The sequence below is a fragment of the Homo sapiens genome, chromosome 10 (assembly GCF_000001405.40).
Source record: "Homo sapiens chromosome 10, GRCh38.p14 Primary Assembly".
NCBI lineage: Eukaryota > Metazoa > Chordata > Mammalia > Primates > Hominidae > Homo > Homo sapiens.
In genome coordinates, this window is record NC_000010.11 from 22,161,894 (window position 1) to 22,181,509 (window position 19,616).

The following is a 19,616-nucleotide window of genomic DNA, read 5'->3' on the forward strand; positions in this document are numbered from 1 at the left end:
CATTGAACTTGAAATGTTGATGGAAACTTCCAAAACTGAAAGGCAAAGAGAAAAAGAATAAAAAGTCAAAGCATAATATCTGCATTAGTCTGTTCTCACACTGCTATAAGAAATACCTGAGATGGAGTACTTTATAAAGAAAAAGAGGTTTAATGGACTTACAGTTCCTCATGGCTGGGGAGGCCTCACAATCAAGGCAGGAGGCAAAGGAGGAGCAAAGTTACGTCTTACATGGCGGCAGGCAAGAGAGCATGTGCAGGGGAACTGCCCTTTATAAAACCATCAGATCTCATGAGAATTACTCACTATTACAAGAACAGCATGGGAAAGACCCACCTCCACGATTCAATTACCTCCAACCAGGTCCCTTCCATGACACATGGGGATTATGGGAGCTACAATTCAAGATGAGATTTGGGTGGGGAAACAGCAAAACCATATCAATATCCAAGAACTGTGGGACAATTACAAAAGAGATAACACATGTTTCATGGAAATAAGAAGGAGAAGAAAGAGATAGGATGGAAGAAATACTTGAAGCAATAATGATGAGATGTTCCAAAATTAATGATAGACTCCAAACCACAGATCCAGGAAGCTCAGAGAACACCAGGCAGAATAAATACCAAAACAAAAACAAAAACAGACCCTATGCTAGGCATATCATATTCAAACTACATAAAGTCAAAGACAAAAGGAAAATATTGAAAGATACCAGAAGGGGAAAAATCTTACTATTAAGGAGAAAAGATAAAAATTACGTGGAACTTCTCTTCAGAAATCATGCAAGCAAGAAGAGAGTTGAGTGAAATAATTAAAATATTGAAGCAAAAATACCACCAATCTAGAATTCTGTTTCCAGCAAAATTTTCCTTCAAAAGTAAAGGAGACCTCATTTCATGCCCCTTGTGGCACAGAGATAGTGCCGAAGATCTGGGGCCACTTAGCTGCAAGTTGCCTCCAGCAGGTACCTGTGGCTCCTAACAGGGCATGCCCACCTCGCCTGTCTACTATCACAGACAGAGATTTGACCTCTTGGGCTGAGAGGCCCCAACCTTTCCTCAAGCTAAAACTATGTAGCATTGAGCTACCAGCCAGATGCCTTCCCACAAAGGATCTGTGGTGGCACAGGGCAACTGACATGGTTCTTTTTCTTCCAGTCATAGATACTTTAGGAGCCATGGGTTACGCTGCAGACATGGCCAAGTCCAAGAACCACACTGCACATAACAAGTCCCCAAAATAGCACAGAAATGCCATCAAGAAACATCAGTTGCAAAGATACGAATTTCTTTAGGGGGTGGACCCCAAGTTCCTTTGGCTCTTTGCCAAGCAGCACAAGAAGGATCTGAAGAAAATGCAGGCTGTGTCAGTCAGTCTTGTGTTGCTATAAAGGAACACTTGAGACTGGGTAATTTACCAAGAAAAGTTTATTTAGGCCACAGTTCTGCTAAGCTGCATAAGCATGGAACCAGCATCTGCTCAGCTTCTGATGAGGCCTCAGGAAGCCTTTACTAATGGTGGAAGGTGAAGGGGGAGCACGTATCTCACATGGCAAGAAAGTGAGCAAGGGAAAGAAGAGGAGGTGCAAGGCTCCTTTAAACAATCAGTTCTCTTTGCTGGGTGCGGTGGCTCACGCCTGTAATTCCAGCACTTTGGGAGGCTGTGGCAGGTGAGTCACCTGAGATCAGGAGTTCGAGACCAGCCTGGCCAATATGGTGAAACCCCGTCTCTACTAAAAACACAAAAAAATTAGCCAGGTGTGGTGGTACACATCTGTAGTCCCAGCTACTTGGGAGGCTGAGGCAGGATAATTGCTTGAACCCGAGAGGCGGAGGTTGAAGTGAGCCAAGATCATGCCACTGCATTCCAGCCTGGGTGACAGAACAAGACTCCTTCTGAAAAATAAATAAATAAATAAATACCAGCTCTCACATGAATTTAATGGAGCGATAACTCATTCATCACCATGGGGAGGGCACCAAGCCATTCATGAGGGATCCACCCCCATGACCCAAACACCTCCCAGAGACCAACTTCCAACATTGGAGGTCACATTTCAACATGTGATTTGGAGAGGACAAAACACCCAAACCATATCATAGGCCAATAATGGCAAGGCCATGAGTGTGAGTGCAGAGGCTATCATGGCCTCATAAAGCCCAAGGATGTTAAGCCCAAAATCCCAAAGGGTGTCAGCCTCAAGCTCACTTGACTTGCCTACATTGCCCACCCCAAGCTTGGGAAGCATGCTTATGCCCATATTGCCAAGGGTCTAAGGCTCTGCCAGCCAAAGGCCAAGACCAAGGATTAAACCAAGGCCCAGGCTGCAGCTTCAGCTCCAGCTACAGGTCTAGCTCCAGCTCTGGCTCAGGCTCCCAAAGGTGCCCAGATCCCCACAAAGACTTTGGAATAGAAGCCTCTGTCGGCATGAGGACAGTGGGACTGGTGTGACCCCTGGGCTGCCATCTGCATGGGGCTGGTGTCCTCCTGTGCTATTTGTACAAATCAACCTGAGGCAGGACAACAGCAACAACAACAACAACAAAAAAACCTGACATGGTGGAACTGGTTGAACTGGGACTCCCTGCTAGAAGAGAAGAGCAAACAGGTAATCGCCAACCCAAAATTAAAGAAGAGGGAATAGATCTAGGGTCTCAGGAGAAAGAGAAGGTGGTACAGGTACTGATGTTTCCCCTGCAAGCCCAACATCCCATGGAGAAAATGGAGGAGTTTGTGTACAAGATCCGGGAGGGACATTGGAAGATCATCCCAAATGCTGGCTCCCTGACTTGAAGTACACTGATGCCTGCTACATGACAATGGACCACTCACGCCCGCCCTCAGGCTTACTCAAAGAGCATCTCCACTCCATTCAGAAACTGGCACTGTCTAAAGACATCTGCTTGGTTTCATGCTGGAAATCTTCACCATGCTCAGACGAAATATTCATTTCATGGCCCCATCCACAGGAGAAGGTGGCTTGGAGAATGCTCTTGTTGGGTGCAGTGCTCTGTCTCAATTTCTCCTAGCTCTTTCATACCACCTATTCTCATTCAGAGAAAGTTTTGGACATATTCCAAACTGGGCTATTCAGACATCACTCTCCTGATGATGGGGAGCCTTGTCTCTTGGCTGTATTACTCCTTGTACTGTTCCCCAAAACCACGGCACATCCACCTCTCCACTGCCCTTGTCCTGGGCATTTTTGCACCCTTGTGACACAGCAGAACCCGTTTCCACTCCTAAGCACTAGCGGACAAGAGCAACAGTGTTCCTGGGACTTGACTTGGGTGGTGGTGTGCCTACTGTGGGCTTTACTATCACTAAGGGCTGTGTCAAGGCCACCACAGTGGGCCAGATGGGCTGGTTCTTCCTCATGGCTGTGATGGACATCACCAGAGTTGCCTTAATGCAACTCAAATTCCTGAGCAGTATTTTCCTGGAAAATTTGACATGTGATTCTGGTTGCACCCAATTTTCCATGCCCTGATGATGGTAGCAGCCTTTGTACATGTCTGTAAAGTCTCCAGGCCTGGCGTGGTAGCTCACGCCTGTAATCCCAACACTTTGGGAGGTAGAGGCAGGAGGACTGCTTGAGCCCAGGAGTTTGAGACCAGCCTGGGCAACATAGTGAGACTCTATCTCTATAAAAAAATATTAAAAATCTGTGGGCATGATGGTGCACACCTGTAGTCCCAGCTACTCAGGAGTCTGAGGCAGGAGGATTGCTTGAGCCCAGAAGTTTAAGGCCACAGTGAGCCATGATTGCACCACTGTACCACAACCTGGGTAACAGAGCGAGACCCTGTCTAAAAAAAAAAAAAAAAAAAAAAAAAAAAGTCTCCAACTTTCAGAAATCCTGTCATGGACTAGAAAGTGGCTATACTGATGTCTTCTTTGAGTCTCACACCCAAGGAACTTCCCAAGTGCCTTTTTTTAAGGGTATATGTGGCCCTCAAATGGCAGAACATTAAGAATACAGAAAGTAAGAAAATATAGTTAACATAGAAGCCCTGTGAGGAATGAATGGATGCCAAACAGACAAATACAAAATCTAAGAAAACATAGGTAGAACACTCAACCCATCATTCTTTCCCAAAATGATAAAAATCCTTGTGGCACTGTGGGACCCATTTCCCACTGTCAGGGGAAAAGTAACGCCCCAATTCCAGGGCTAGCCAGTTCTTAGAGGTAGTGTAACAGTGAAACAGCAAAGGAACACACATAGCTAACTTCACTTTTGCTTAAGGGGCCTTTACTCATTGGTGAGTATAGGCAGGGATAATTTTAGAGCATTGAGATAAAATGCAAAAACAGCAATTAAGTAGCTTTTGAAGCTAACTCTGGAATTAAAAGAGAAGTATGTAAACAACTATGTTTTGTCAAAGCTTTATAGGAACCAGGAAGTTTGGCTAGCATCATATAAGACACCATTACCCAAGGACAAAAGTTTCACAAACCTCCCTGGACCCTTGCTGGCGCCTAAACATATGCCATTATCAGCCCCCTCCTTTCCTAGACATAAAAGACAAGGCAAAGCCTGCATAATTCTAAGATGGTACTTTAGGATGCTAGTCTGCCATCTTCTCAGTTTGCTGGTTCTCTGAAATAAAGTCGCTTTCCTTGCTCCAATTCCTTGCTTTCAACTTACTGACTCTTGTGCAGTAAACAGAATGAGCTTGGACTCAGTTGCAGTAGCAAAGCTTGCCTTTCATGTGCAAACCAACTAATTCACAGTCTATACACCCCAAACATCTCATCTAACCCACACTCCAAGTCAATATTTCCCCTGCCCTAAATCATCCCAAGGCCAGATAGCAGGATACTGGAGACCACCGTATGACCCAAAGCCCACCAGAGTTATTCACACTAGCCAGTCCTAAACGGTTTACTCTGCCCTGCACTGCCTTTTCCACAGAAACCCCAATAAAGGCTGTGGCCTATGGCTTTCCTTGACTCCTTCCTTCTGACCAAAACTGGTGCTTTCTCCCGTGGCACTGAGTGGCCCTGCATGCCCCCTTCTCTTGGAAAATGTAAGTAATCAATTCTTCTCTCGATAGCATTAGCCTCTCTGTGTCATCAGTCACCTCATAAATTAAAATCTCATGGGTACAAATGAAACACTGGGATTCTTCAAAAATTCTGTTTCTGGAAGAAAATATCCCACTCTAACCCATCTTTTCTTTGTAACCTGGCTTATAATAGAACATTCATATTTTGTTTGTTTTTGTAGCACACTTTCCAAAAACAATCTGGTCCCATCTTTCTGGGGCTAGATCTGTTTACAAACAGGAAGAAGAAGATGCTTATGGCATTCATGGAAACAATACCACAACATGAACAATGACAATACTAGAATGTACTAGAATGTGTGATATAAATGATGATCCTGTAAAGGAATGCAGACAAAAGAGAAAGCTTTGTAGAATAAGAAGCTTAACTTCAAGAAGGGCAGGATTTGAAAATACGGTGAAAACTAAGGGGAAGAAAATCCTATTTTTAAATAAGAGAATTTTCTTAAAATTCTTTTCATGACTTAGGAGCTATGTCTGCTTCAGTAGCCATTATTTTTCCATTATCAACAAAAGGAATATGCCCGGGGAGAAAATAACAAAGTAGTAGTTTGACACCATGTTGTATTAAACAATCTGTCATAATTTCTTGCTTCTTAAATATTAAGCTAATTTAAAAACAGATTATAAAATATTTCTTAGAGAGGTGAAGTTGTCAGGAACAAGTGCAGAGACACAAAAAGTGCCAGGTATTGGCCAAGTACAACATTTGGTGGTGTCTGAGGATCAAAGCCTATGAGAATGTGAGTTACTCTAGGGAAATGAAAACAGAGAAAGAGACAATGATATGATAAAAAAGAACTTCAAAAATAGTAAGAGACAAAGTAAAAACAGTGAATAGTATATTTCTTCTTTACAGGTTACTAAGAGATAGTATGAAAACAAAACTTATAATCTTGATGTAGAGTAGTCATTTCAATTAGCCAAACTTCCAAGTAGTGAAATAAATTGCACATAACTCAATTTTGCATAATGTGATGTATGTATAATTTAATTTCACACAGTATAATGATATATAATTTTACATAATATAAATTCAATACTAGAAGTTCTGTTTTGCTTGTTCTATTGAGCTTCTAGTAATGAATTTATATCATCTATTATATTATCAATTTTATTATTTATATCATTATTTATGACTAGCAGTTCAATAGAACAAGAAAATTTGTATGAATACCAAACAATAAATCAATGTTTCCTTATTCTATGAAATTCTAAGATCCCCTTAAATAACTTCACTTATGTTAATGAATAATCACCCTAGGAAATATATACTGTACTAAAATATAATTAGTGTTAATATTGAGAAAAAAATAGCAATGTTGCTTAAACGATTTGCTTGTGAAAAAGAGGTTTTCTAGAAACTATGCTAAAATCTAAGATACCAATACAGAAAAAAGTTAGTAAGGATTTTACTGAAACATGCAATATTATAAAGGATATAGTGTAAACTGATAGATGATACAACTTTCAACTCCAAACTAAACAGAAGTCAAAAAGTAGTAACTTCAGAGAGGGTAAAAGCATAACAACAAACTACACAGGACGTGAGAATTGCCTCTCAAGTCTCTCAGCATGAAAAACCATATAAACAAATTTATTTAAGTAAAAAACAGTGTGCTATTTGAAGAGCATGGTGATATTTAACAAATGTTAACAAATACATGTTCATCAAATATTTACTAAGCTCCGGCTGTGAACAAGACAGACTATCTCCACTTTCATTAAGCTTATATTCTACTGGGACAGATAGAGAACAAAAAAGTAAAGAATCAAATGAAGCATATAATTTCAGATTGAGATAAATGTTATAAAAACAACAAACCAGGAAACAAGACAGAGAGTGGCTGGGGTGTGGTGAGTTGGGGTGCAATTTTAGATACTGTGATCAGAGAAAATGTCTTTGAGGTTATAGTTGAGGAAAGATCTGAGTCATGAGGAAAAGCCAGCCATATGAACATCTAGGGGCGCGGATTTCCTGGCCAAGGGCATAACAGCTATGAAATCCTCTTTGTAAGACAAATAGAAAGACAGGTGGATGGATGTATGGACAAAAAAGACAGACAAATTGATAGATAACAAATGTATATAGAACACTCCACCCAACAACAGGAGAATATGCATTTTTTCTCAAGTGCACATAGAACATTCTCCAGAATAGACCATATGTTAGGCCATTAAAAAAGTCAGTAACTTTTACAAGATTGGAAGCATATGAGGTATCTTTTCAGATCATTATGAAATAAACTAGACATCAAAAATAGAAGGAAAACTGGAAAAACATTCTTAATTAACAGGTCAAACAAAAAATCACAAGGGAAATTAGAAAATAACTTGAGCTGGATGAAAACAAAATACAACACACCAAAATGTATGAGATGCAGCAAAATCAGTGCCAAGAGAAATTATGGCCGGGCACGGTGGCTCACGCCTGTAATCCCAACACCTTGCAAGGTCAAGGCAGGCAGATCACGAGGTCAGGAGATTGAGACTATCCTGGCTAACACTGTGAAACCCTGTCTCTACTAAAAATACAAAAAATTAGCCGGGTGTGGTGGCACGCACCTGTAGTCCCATCTACTCAGGAGGCTGAGGCAGGAGAATTGCATGAGCCCGGGAGGCAAAGGTTGCAGTGAGCCCAGATAGTGCCACTGCACTCCAGCCTGGGTGACAGTGCGCGACTCCGTCTCAAAAAAAAAAAAAAAAACACAGAAATTATAGCTATCAACTTCTACATTAAAAAAGAAGAAAGATCTCAAATCAACAACCTAATTTTATACCTAAGGAACTAGAAAAGGAAGAACAAACTAAACCCAAAACTAGCAGATAAAAGAAAACAATAGGCCAGGCATGGTGACTCATGTCTGTAATCCCAGCACTTTGGGAGGTGAAGGTGGGTGGATCACCTGAGGTCAGGAGTTCAAGATCAGCCTGACCAACATGATGAAACCCCATCTCTCCTAAAAATACAAAGTTAGCCAGGCTTGGTGGCACATGCTTGTAATCCCAGCTACTTGGGAGGCTGAGGCAGGAGAACTGCTTGAACCCGGGAGGCAGAGGTTGCAGTGAGCTGAGATCACGCCATTGCCCTCCAGCCTGGGCAACAAGAGCTAGACTGTCTCAAAAAAAAAAAAGAAAAAGAAAAAAGGAAACAATAAAGATTAGGACGAAGATAAATAAAATAGAGCATAGAAAAACAAGCAAAAATCAACAAAACCAAAAGATGCCTCTAAAAAGATCAACAAAAGTGACAAATCTTTAGCTAGAATGACTAAGGAAAAAAAAGAGATGAAAGTCAGATTACCAGAAATGAAAATAAAAGTGAGAATATTATTATCAGTTTTACAAAAATGAAAAGACTTAGAAGAGAATATGATGAACACTTGTACATCAATTGATGGGGTAGTCCAGATGAAATGGACAAAATCCTAGAAATATACTCTGCGAAAACTGAATCTTAAATAGAAAAGTTGAGTAGACCTGTAACTAATAAGAAGATTGAATCAGTAATCAAAAAACTCCTAAAAAAGAAAAGCCCTGTACCAGATGACTTCACTAGTAAATTCTACCAAACATTTAAAGAATTATCAAATTTCTCAAACTTTTCCGAAACACTGCAGAGAGGGAACACTTCCTGACTTGTTCTATGAAGCCAGCATTACTATGGTACTGAAGCCAGACAAAGACACTACAAGAAAAGGAAACTACAGACCAACCTCTCTGATGGATAGTAATACAAAAATCCTTAACAAGATAATACCAAACTGGATTCAGCAGTACCTTAAAAGGATTATATACCATGAGCAGGTGGGATTTATTCCCAGAATGCAAGGATGGTTTAACATATAAAGAAAAGCATCAATGTAATATGCCACATTAATAGAAGGGAGGAAACAAACCCCACATGGTCATCTCAGTTAATGCAGACAAAGCATTTGACAAAATTCAGCACTATGATAAAAAAACTCAATAAGCTAGGAATAGAAGAAAATTTCCTTAATATGATAGAGGTCATTTTCAATGTATGCATTTATATCTATAAATTTCCCTAGCACTGCATTCCATAAGTTTTGGCAATGTGATGTTTTATTTTCATTCAGCTCATGGTAGTTTTTAATTACCTTTGTGACCTTTTTTTTGATCCATTGGTTGCCTAAGAATATTTTGTTTGGTTTGCACGTATTTGTGAAATTTCCAGTTTTCTGTTACTGATTTCTAGTTTTATTTCATTATTATTGGAGTACTTTGTATGACTTCAATATTTTAAAATGTATTAAAATCTGTTCTATGGTTTTATGGCCTAACATATGGTCTATCCTGGGGAATGTTGTGCATGCACATGAGAAAAATGTGTATTCTGCTGTTGTCAGCTATTTTTAATTTATTCTCTATTTTAGTAATCATGTGGGATGTTGAACTTTGTCAAATAATTTTTCTGCATAAAGTAACTATGTACATTTTGCCTCTTTGGGTTATTAATAAGGTATAATATATTCACAATTTTCCTAATATTGACTCACCTTTGCAGTGCAGGAGGAACTCAATTGGTAATGAGGTATTTTTTTAAGTACTGCTGAATTACAATTGCCCTTGTTTTATTGAGATTTTTACATAAATGTTGATACGTGAGCTTTGCTCTGTCTTGTCAAGTTTTGATGTCAGTGTTAAACTTCTACAAATATAATATGAAGGATTTCCTCTTTTGATGTTTTGGAACATTTTAAATTCTATCCAATTTACCCTTAAACTTTTTAAAGAATCAACAGTGAAACCAAGTGGACCTTGAGATTTTAAGAAGATCTTCTGTAGCTTTTTCAGCTGCTTCCATTGACCCACTAGGCAGGGGATTATTTGGCTTTTGTCTGTATTTCTGTCTTTAAAGAACCAGCTCTCCTCCACAATTCTACTGTATTTCTTTCTTCTGAATACATGATTGGATTTTGTGAATTTTTTCTTTTATATACTCTGTAGATTTCTGTATTGGGTGAACTTATTCCCATTTATACACATTAATATATGATATTTATTTAGTATTTATTCCACTTCATCTTAGGTTTACTATTATCACTACTGCTACCATATATATGTATAATCTTTTTTGTATTTGGTCTTAGAGGTGTGTGTGTGTATACTTCTTTGGATAATTTTGAAAGCTTGTTTTCTGCAATTGGGGGATTTTCTGAGGCAGTCATAACTTTACTATCACTAACTCTCTACTTCTTGATTTAGCAACTTCAGACTGCATCTGTTGATTTCTAGTTATACAGGAATATCAAAGAAATGATCACAAATAAACCTCCTCCCATTTCTCTCCTTTCCCCTCTATGCCTGATTTTATTTTTAACTTTCATTTTAGGCTCAGTGGTACATGTGCAGGTTTGTTATATAGGTAAAATTGTGTCATGGGGCTTTGTTGTACAAATTATTTCATCACCCAGGTACTAAGCTTAGTACCCAATACTTATATTTTCTGATCCTCTCCCTCCTCCCACCATCTATCCTTAAGCAGGCCCCAGTGTCTGTTGTTCCTTTTTATGTGTCCATGTGTTCTCATCATTTAGCTCCCACTTATAAGTAAGAACATGCGGCATTTGGTCTTTTGTTCCTGCATTAGTTTGCTAAGGATAATGACCTCCAGCTCCATTCATGTTCCTGCAAATGACATGATCTCGCTCTGTTTCATGCCATACCTGATTTATATTATGTTATCATTTTTTACATTGTCAAAGCTTATAACACTTATATTCTGTAACCATGTTTCCCATCATTTTTTAGTCTTAATTCTATATTTAAATTAATTGAGTCCTTCTTACCAGACTTTTTTAGTGTGATATTTCTCTTTCCTTCCTAGTTGTTTGGTTTTGATTTTTTGTGTTTTTTCTAAAAGGGCATGTGGTTCCTGGGTTTGTTTATGGTTAAGGCTATTTGTCTGTCTCTTGCCTTTATATTTGAATGTCAGCTTGATTGAGAAAAATACTCTTCTCTTTCTCAATATGTGGCAGATATTGAATAATTCTTAGAGAAGTCTGAGGCTATTCTGATTTTATTTTCCTGGTAAATAATTAGTATTTGGGCCGGGTGCAGTGGCTAACACCTATAATCCCACCACTTGGGGAGGGAGAGGCAAGAGGATCACCTGAGTCCAGGAGTTTGAATCCAACCTGGGCAACATAGTGAGAGCCCATGTCTATAAAAAATTTAAAAATTAGCCAGCCATGGTGGCCCATGTCTGTATTCCCAGCCACTTGGGAGGCTGAGGTGGGAGGATCACTTGAGCCCAGGAGATACAGGCTACAGTGAGCCATAATCACACCACTGCCCTCTAGCCTGGGTGATAGAGTGAGACTCTATCTCAAAAAATACATAATAATAAGAAGTATATGTCTGGATACTTAAATAATTTTGTCTTAATGAATTGCAAACCAACTAGGATATATCTCAATGTTGGTGCTCCTATATCAATTTTTTTTTTCAGGAAAAAGATGTTTTAGATTAATTCTTTCCTCTAATCAGGACAAAAAAAAACTCTTCTGTTGGTTTTTAAGTATATTTTCTGATTCATTTGACAGCTTCTTTAATTCCAAGACATTGATTGCTTTTATTGTGATTAGTCTTTGTCTTTGAGACATCTTCTCTTCTCTTTAAATTGCTTTAGTGTCTTTGTCTTTAAAAAAGTCTTCAGACGCTGTGTTTGCCAAGCCTTTCCCATATCAGTCATTTGATCTTAGGTTGTGTCTGTTCTGTTCTTTGCTGTTTCTAATTTTTTTAATGGCTCTGTAAGAAAGTTGTTTTGGCTCTTAATTTTTTTCCTAAACTATGTGTCATTGTTTGCATTAAAACAGACCCAAGAATTTGAGTGCAAGTAGTTTATTTGAGAGGCAGTTCCAGAAAACACTAATGGAGAGCAGGAAGGTATAGCATGAGAGGGAAGAAATCGAATAATATTATCACCAAGTTACCACTGTGGACAACTAGAGCTAAAACCTTCTGGGGAGCTCTTTGAAACATTGTAGAACATGTCTCAGAGTTATCTCAACCAACAGGCAAAGAAGCAGAAGCATTTACCTATCAACTTCTTGTCTGTCACTGGCTATAGGCTGTTACTGGGGAACAGTCACACTCTGGCACTTGTCACTTGCCCCGAATTGAACAGACATTCTCTGCTTTGGTCAGAAAAAATACCTTGGGCAATCTCAGGTCTTTACAGAAATCACAGGTACATAAAGAAGAGGCATAGGGCCAGGCGCAGTGGCTCACACCTGAAGTCCCAGCACTTTGGGAGGCCAAGGTGGGCGGATCACAAGGACAAGAGATTGAGACCATCCTGGCCAAGATGGTGAAACCCCGTCTGTACTAAAAATATAAAAATTAGCTGGGCGTGGTGGTGCACGCCTGTAGCCCCAGCTACTCGGGAGGCTGAGGCAGGAGAATTGCTTGAACCCAGGAGGCAGAGGTTGCAGTGAGCCGAGATCGCACCACTGCACTCCAGCCTGGCAACAGAGGGAGACACAGTCAAAAAAAAAAAAAAAAAAAAGAAGAGGCATAGAGGGGGCAAGGTGGAGGGAATGTGCTTGGGACATTAGCAGCAAACTCCCTTTTCACCTTTGCATTGTTGTTTCCTCTCATTGTTTATCTTTCAAATTTTTAAAATTTTCATTAAATTCTTCTGTAGCTACACTATCCAATATAGTAACCACAAGCCACAAGAGACTATGAGCAATTGAAATGCAACTACTCTTAACTGAGATGTGCTGTAAGTGTAAACTATACACCAAATTCAAAGACTTTGTATATATAAATGCAAAATATCTCAATAATTTTTGTATTGATTACATGTTGAAATAATATTTAGGTAATGGGTAATTACAATGTATTATTACAGCTCATTTCATCTATTTTCTAAAAAGCATTTTATTTTGGTTACTTAAAATGTTTAAATTACATATATTCTTCCAGAACAGATTTTTTATCTTTATCTTGCATGTTACATTTCATTTTTTTCTTTTTACTTAGGGGAGGGGGATTTAATAAGTTTACTCAGATACCATACTATTTTGTTTTTTTCTTTCACCTTACTGTGCATATCTGTCCAGAAATGCCATTTCTACATCTATAATGTGGGTATATTCTTTTAACTCAGCCTGGATGACAGAGTGAAATTGTTTCTAAAAAACAACCCACAATATTTCAAAAGACTCAAATCAAACCTCTGAGATGAAAACTACATTGTCTGCGATGAAAAATTCACTGGATGGTATGGATGGCAGATCAGACATTGCAGAAGGAAAGATTAGTGAACCTGATGATTTAGCAACTGAAACTATCCAAAAAGAAAGAGAGAGAGAAAAGACGAGAAAAAATGAAGAAGGCATCAGTGAGGACAGTAAAACTTCCAGTGGCTCGATGTATATGTAATTGGAGCCACCTAAGGAGTGAAAGAGGGGGGTGAGGAACAGAAAATAGTTAAGAAAAAGTGTCCCGAATATTTCCAAATTAGACAGAATTATAAACCATAGACAAAAGAAGATCAGCGAGCCCCAAACCCAAGAAAAATGAGAACTACACTAAGGTTTATCACAAATTGCCAAGATCTTTGATAAAGAACAATTATTAAAAACAGCAAGAGAAGAAGATAGTCCTCACTTAAGGTCATCGATAGATTCTTGGAAACTGTAACTTTAAGTGAAATGACATATAACAAATCCAGGTTTTTTTTGCTCATCACTGTTTTAATGAAATGATGTTTTTTAAGGATTTGCTGTATGTCATTTTGCTTTAAGTCTTTCAGGAAGAAGAAAATATTAGACGGAAAACTACACCAAGAGATAAAGAGCATTAGAAATAATAACTATGTGGCTAAATAAAACAGAATGCTTTTTTACCACTTAATTATCTTTAAAAGATAATAAACTGCTTGGAGCAGAAATAACAATATTTTGTGAAGTTTATGTAATCTGCAGAAATAAAATGTTTAGCAATAGCATAAAGGCTTGAGGGGGCAAATGGAAGCATACTGCTACAAGGTTCTTACCCTAAATAAGAAGTGGCATAATATCCCTTAAAGGTTAAAAGTAGACTCATAAGGATGTGTACTGTAAAGTGTAAATTAACATCTGAAATAATACAAGTTATAGTTAATATGCCAACAAAGGAAATAGAATACAATTTTATCTAAACATTTGAAAAAGAAATAATACTAATTTTATGCAAAACTCAAATAATTCAAAATAAGGCTGAACAAGAGAAAAGGGGATGCAAAGAATAGGGGTGGGAAAAATAGAAGCCAGATAACAAGAAAGTGTGTTTGGATCCAATCATACAAATTAATGTAATGGTCTAACCCGGGGTGGGGGAGGGGGATGGTTTTCGGATGAAACTGTTCCATCGGAGATCATCAAGCATTAGATTCTCATAAGCAGCACGCAGTCTAGATCCCTTGCATACACACTTCGCATTAGGGTTCATACCCTATTAGAGTCGAATGCCACAACTGATCTGACAGGAGGTGGATCTCAGGTGGAGTTCACGGACAGATACCAGTCTGTGGCCCGGGATTTGGGGACCACTGGTCTAACCACCCAAAGTAAAAGGCAAGATTATTACATAGGATTAAAGAAGAAAGATCCAACTATGTGCTACCTGCAAGAAAGCCATTTTAAACACAAAGACTCAGGAAGGTTAAAAGTCATGATATTAAAAAAAGATATAACATGTTAACACTAACTAAAACTGGTTATACTCATATCAGGGGCTATTTTAGAACAAAGAAAATTTCCAGGGATAAAGAGGATCATATAATCATAAAAGGATCAATTCAACACGAGGACACACAAATCCTAAATGTTCATATACCTAACAGAACATTTTTTGCTCCTAATAGTACAAAAAATGATAAGAGCTACAAGAAAAAATAGACAAATCCACAACTAAAATTGCAGGTTTCAACACACCGTTTTGTCTATATTTGATAGAAGGGTGTTGAAACCTGCAAAATCAGAAAGAATATGGGAGACTTGCGTAATACAATCAACCAAACTGACTTAGCTGACATTTATAGAACATCCATTTAACAAGTGAAGAGTGTGAATTCTTGTCAAGTGCATGTGGAACATTTACCAGAGAGTACATATTCTGGGTCACGAAACAAGTCTTAATAAATTTAAGTTTTCAAGTCATGCAAAATATGACTTCTGACCACAATTTAAGTAAATTAAAAATAAAACACCATATAACCATAAAATGCAATAATAATTGTCTACTAAAAGGAATGAAATATTGATACATATTACAACATGTATGAATCTCAAAAACACTATGATATGTAAAAGACGCCAGTCACAAAAAACCAGGTATTATACAATTCCATTTATATGAAATGTCCACCATAAACAAATGTATAGAGAAAGTAGATTCGTGGATGTCTCAGTCTAGGGAGGTAGGGTTGGGGGTGCAGAGGAAGAACAGGGAGTGGCCATTAATGGGTACAAGGTCTCTTTTGAAAATAATGAACATGTCCTAAAATTAGGTTGCTGTGATGTTGTACAACTCTGTGAATATACCAAAATATTTAATTTTATACTTTAAATGGGTGGAATTGATAGTACATGCATTACATATCAGTAAAAGCCATTAAAAATACAATATAGAACTATCTGAAAAATTCACCAATATTTTGAAATTAAATAGCACACTTCTAAGTAAGCCATGGGTTAAAAAAATTAAAGGGTAAAGTAGAAAGTACTTTAAATTAGATGAAAATAAAAATAAAATGTACAAGTCATACAGTACTTAGAGGGAATTTGGTAGCACTACATATCCATACTAGAAGAGAAAAATGTCCTCAAAATGACCCAGGTTTTACCCTAAAAAACTAGAAGAAAGTCAGTGAAACCCAAAGGAAGCAGAAGAGGAAGCAGAAGAAAGGAAATAATAAAATTCAGAAAAGGAATCAATGAACTAGAAATCAGAAAAATAGAGGAAAATTCATGAAATCAAAGTTTAATCTTTTTATAGATCCTTGAAAAGATCTATAAAAATGATAAAATTATAACTGATCAAGGGAAAATAGAGAAAATACAAATTTCCATGAACAAAAATGAGAGAATGATGTCATTACAGATTCTACAGACACTAAAAGGATAATAAGGGACTACTGTATGCCAGTTAATTCAAGAATGTAAGTGAAATGACAAATTCCTTGGAAGACACAAATAATCAAAACTCACTGAAGAAGAAATAGCTGGGGCCAGGCGTGGTGGCTTACGCCTGTAATCCCAGTACTTGGGAGGCCGAGGTGGGCGGATCATGAGGTCAGGAGTTTGAGACCATCCTAGCTAACACGATGAAACCCCGTCTCTACTAAAAATACAAAAAATTAGCCAGGCGTGGTGGCGGGTGCCTGTAGTCCCAGCTATTCGGGAGGCTGAGGCAGGAGAATGGTGTAAACCCAGGAGGCAGAGCTTGCAGTGAGCCGAGATCATGCCACTGCACTCCAGCCTGGGTGACAGAGTGAGACTCCGTCTCAAAAAAAAAAAAAAAAAGAAAAGAAAAAAAGAAGAAGAAATAGCTAACATGAATAACCCTATACCTATTAAAGAAATTGCATTAGTAGTTAGAAATTAATTGCATTAGTAGGAAAACTCTTCCCACAGAGAAAATTACGGGCTTTGCTGGTGAATGATTTCAATTATTTTTTTTTTAAATACTATTTTAGAAAACTCTTCCAGAAGGAAATACTTCCCAACTTCTTCTACAAGATTTTGGTATTACTCTGATAATGAAACCAGACAAAAATATTACAAGAAAATAAAATAACAGACCAATATATCTCATGAACATAGATGAAAAATTCTTTAAAAAATTTTTAGCAGATCAAATTTAGTAATGTATAAAAAGGATAACTCATCATTAGTAAGTGAGGTTTATCCCAGGAATGTGAGGTTGATTAAAAATTTAAAAATCAAGCAGTGCAATTTACCATATTAACAGATGAAAAAAGAAAACCTACATGACCATCTCAATAGACCTAGAAAAAGTATGTGATAAAATCTAACATCAATTCCTGAGAAAAACTGTCAGTAATAAGAGGAAATTTCTGCAAAATGATACATTTATGAGAAACTAGAGCTAACATTATACTCAGTGACAAAGGACTGAATGCTTTCCTCTCCAAATCAGGAAGAAGACAATTATATTTACTAACATTAATTCTATTCAGCATTGTACTGAGTTTCTAGGTTCTAGCCAGTACAAAAAAGCAAAAACAAAAGAAATAAACCATCTAAATTAGAAAGGAGGTAAAACAGTCTTTATTTATAAATAACATAACTATAAAAAATAAAATCCACTGAACCAAGTTTAGCAAAACTGAAGGATACAAGACCAATATACAAAAATCAATTATATTTGTATAAATAAGCAATGAACAATCAGAAACTGGAATTTTAAAAATTAGGGTAGTATAAAAAGTATGGAATGTTTAGGGATAAATCTGATAAAAGATGTGTAGGATCTGTCCCTGAAAATGACAAAACATTGCTGAGAAACATTGGAAAAGACTTAAGTGGAGAGATATACCGAGTTCTTGGTCTGGATAACTCAAATGTTGTTAAGTTGTCAATTCTCCCCCAATTAAGGCAACCATACTCAAAATCACAGCAGGTTTGTTGTTGTTGTTGTTTGTTTTGTTTTTGCCTTAGAAATTGACAAGCTGATATATTGGAGATACCAAGGATCTAGAATAGCCAAAATGCCATTGAAAAAGAATGACAAAGTTGGAAGCTTTTTACTATATGGCTTCAAGAATCATTATAAGGCATTATAATAGAGACAGTGTGCTATTGGCATTGCTATGGTTTGGATATTTGTTCCCCACAAACCTCATGTTGAAATTTGATCCTAATGTTGAAAGTGTTTCAACATAATAGAAGGTGTTTGGGTCATGGGGGCAGCTCCCTCATGAATAGATTAATGCCTTCCCTTGCAGGTTTCTCACTCTATTAGTTCCCCCATGAGAGCTGGTTGTTAAAAAGAGTCTGGCACCTCCCACCTCTCTTACTTCCTTTCCTGACACACGGTCTCTGTACACACCAACTCCCCTTCACCTTCCACTACGAGTGGAAGCAGCCTGAGGCCATCACCAGATGCCCAATCTTTAACTTTTTAGCCATCAGAATCATGAGCCAAATAAACCTTTTTTCTTTATAAATTACCCAGGCTCAGGTATTCCTTTATAGCAACACAAAGTGAGCTAAGACAGGCATCAAGATATGCAGGTAGATCAGGGGAGCAGAATAGAGTCTGCGAGAAATAAACTCACACATATATAACCAATTTTTTTGTTTGACAAAGATGCAAAGGCACTTTACTGGCTAAAGAATTGTCTTTTCAACAAATGGTGCTGGAACATTTGGCTATCCATGTCAAAACAAAAACAAGCAAAAAACTTTGATCTGTATCTCACACCTTTACAAAAATGATCTTAAATGGATCACAGACTTAGATGTAAAAAATAAAAAGATAAGAATTCTAGGAGAAAATTTTTGTGACTTAGGGTTAGGCAGAGATTTCTTAGCTATGACACCAAAAGCACAATTCATAAAACAAAACAATCGATACATTGCCAAAATTAAGAAGATACTGTTAAAAAGATACTGTTAACAGAATGAAAGGACAATCCACAGGCTGAGGGGAAAAATGTGCAAATTGCATACCTGTTGAACACTTGCATGCAGAATATATAAAGAACTTTCAAAACTCAATAAGAAAACAGACAACCTCATAAAAATGGAAATACCATAAACAAACACTTCACCAAAGAAGATATATGAATGACGAATGTGCACATGATCAGATATTCAACATCATTAGTTAAAAAGGTAATTTGAACTTTGAAAATCCATAAGAAAATACTATACACCTATTAGAATTACTAAAATTAAAAAGACTAACCATACCAAGTGTTGGCAAGGATGTGGAAAAAAATGGAACTCATATACTGCCAGTGAGAAAGTAAAATGTTATAATCACTTTTGAAAACAGTTTGAAAAATTTCTTTAAGAGTTAAACATATGCCTATCATATTGCTCCACCATTCATATCGTAGGTATTTATCCAAAATAAAAGCATATGTCCATACAAACACTTGTACATGAATGTCCATAGCAGCTAGATTTTTCATAGCCAAAAACTGAAAACAATCCACGTGTCCACCATGGATAAATAAGTTGTGGTATATCCATACAGCAGAGTATTATTCTGCAATACAAAGGGATGAATTACTGATACATCCAACAATATCAACAAATCTCGAAATTATGCTGAGTGAAAAAAGCCAAAGACAAGTACATACTTATGATTCTACTTATATAGAATTCTAGAAAGTGCAAAATTAATCTATAGTAATACAAAGCAGATCAGTGGTTTCCTGAGACTGTAAGGAGGGTTAGAGAGAGAAGAATAGAAAGAGACAGGAAGAAACTATTGGAGGTGATAAATTCATTATCTTGATTGTGGTGATAATTTCTTGAGTATCTGTAGACT

The 19,616-nt window shown here is 37.4% G+C and overlaps 1 pseudogene, besides 2 other annotated features; it reads left to right on the plus strand.

The window, feature by feature from the left end:
* On the plus strand, nucleotides 2,683-3,531 carry ADIPOR1P1 (adiponectin receptor 1 pseudogene 1; annotated as a pseudogene).
* Nucleotides 8,654-8,854: a silencer, noted in NCBI's record as "peak905 fragment used in MPRA reporter construct". NCBI's record gives its function as "represses an SCP1 promoter by STARR-seq MPRAs in K562 erythroleukemia cells {active_cell/tissue: K562}" and the evidence as "EXISTENCE:reporter gene assay evidence [ECO:0000049][PMID:32103011]".
* Nucleotides 12,034-12,234: a silencer, noted in NCBI's record as "peak906 fragment used in MPRA reporter construct". NCBI's record gives its function as "represses an SCP1 promoter by STARR-seq MPRAs in K562 erythroleukemia cells {active_cell/tissue: K562}" and the evidence as "EXISTENCE:reporter gene assay evidence [ECO:0000049][PMID:32103011]".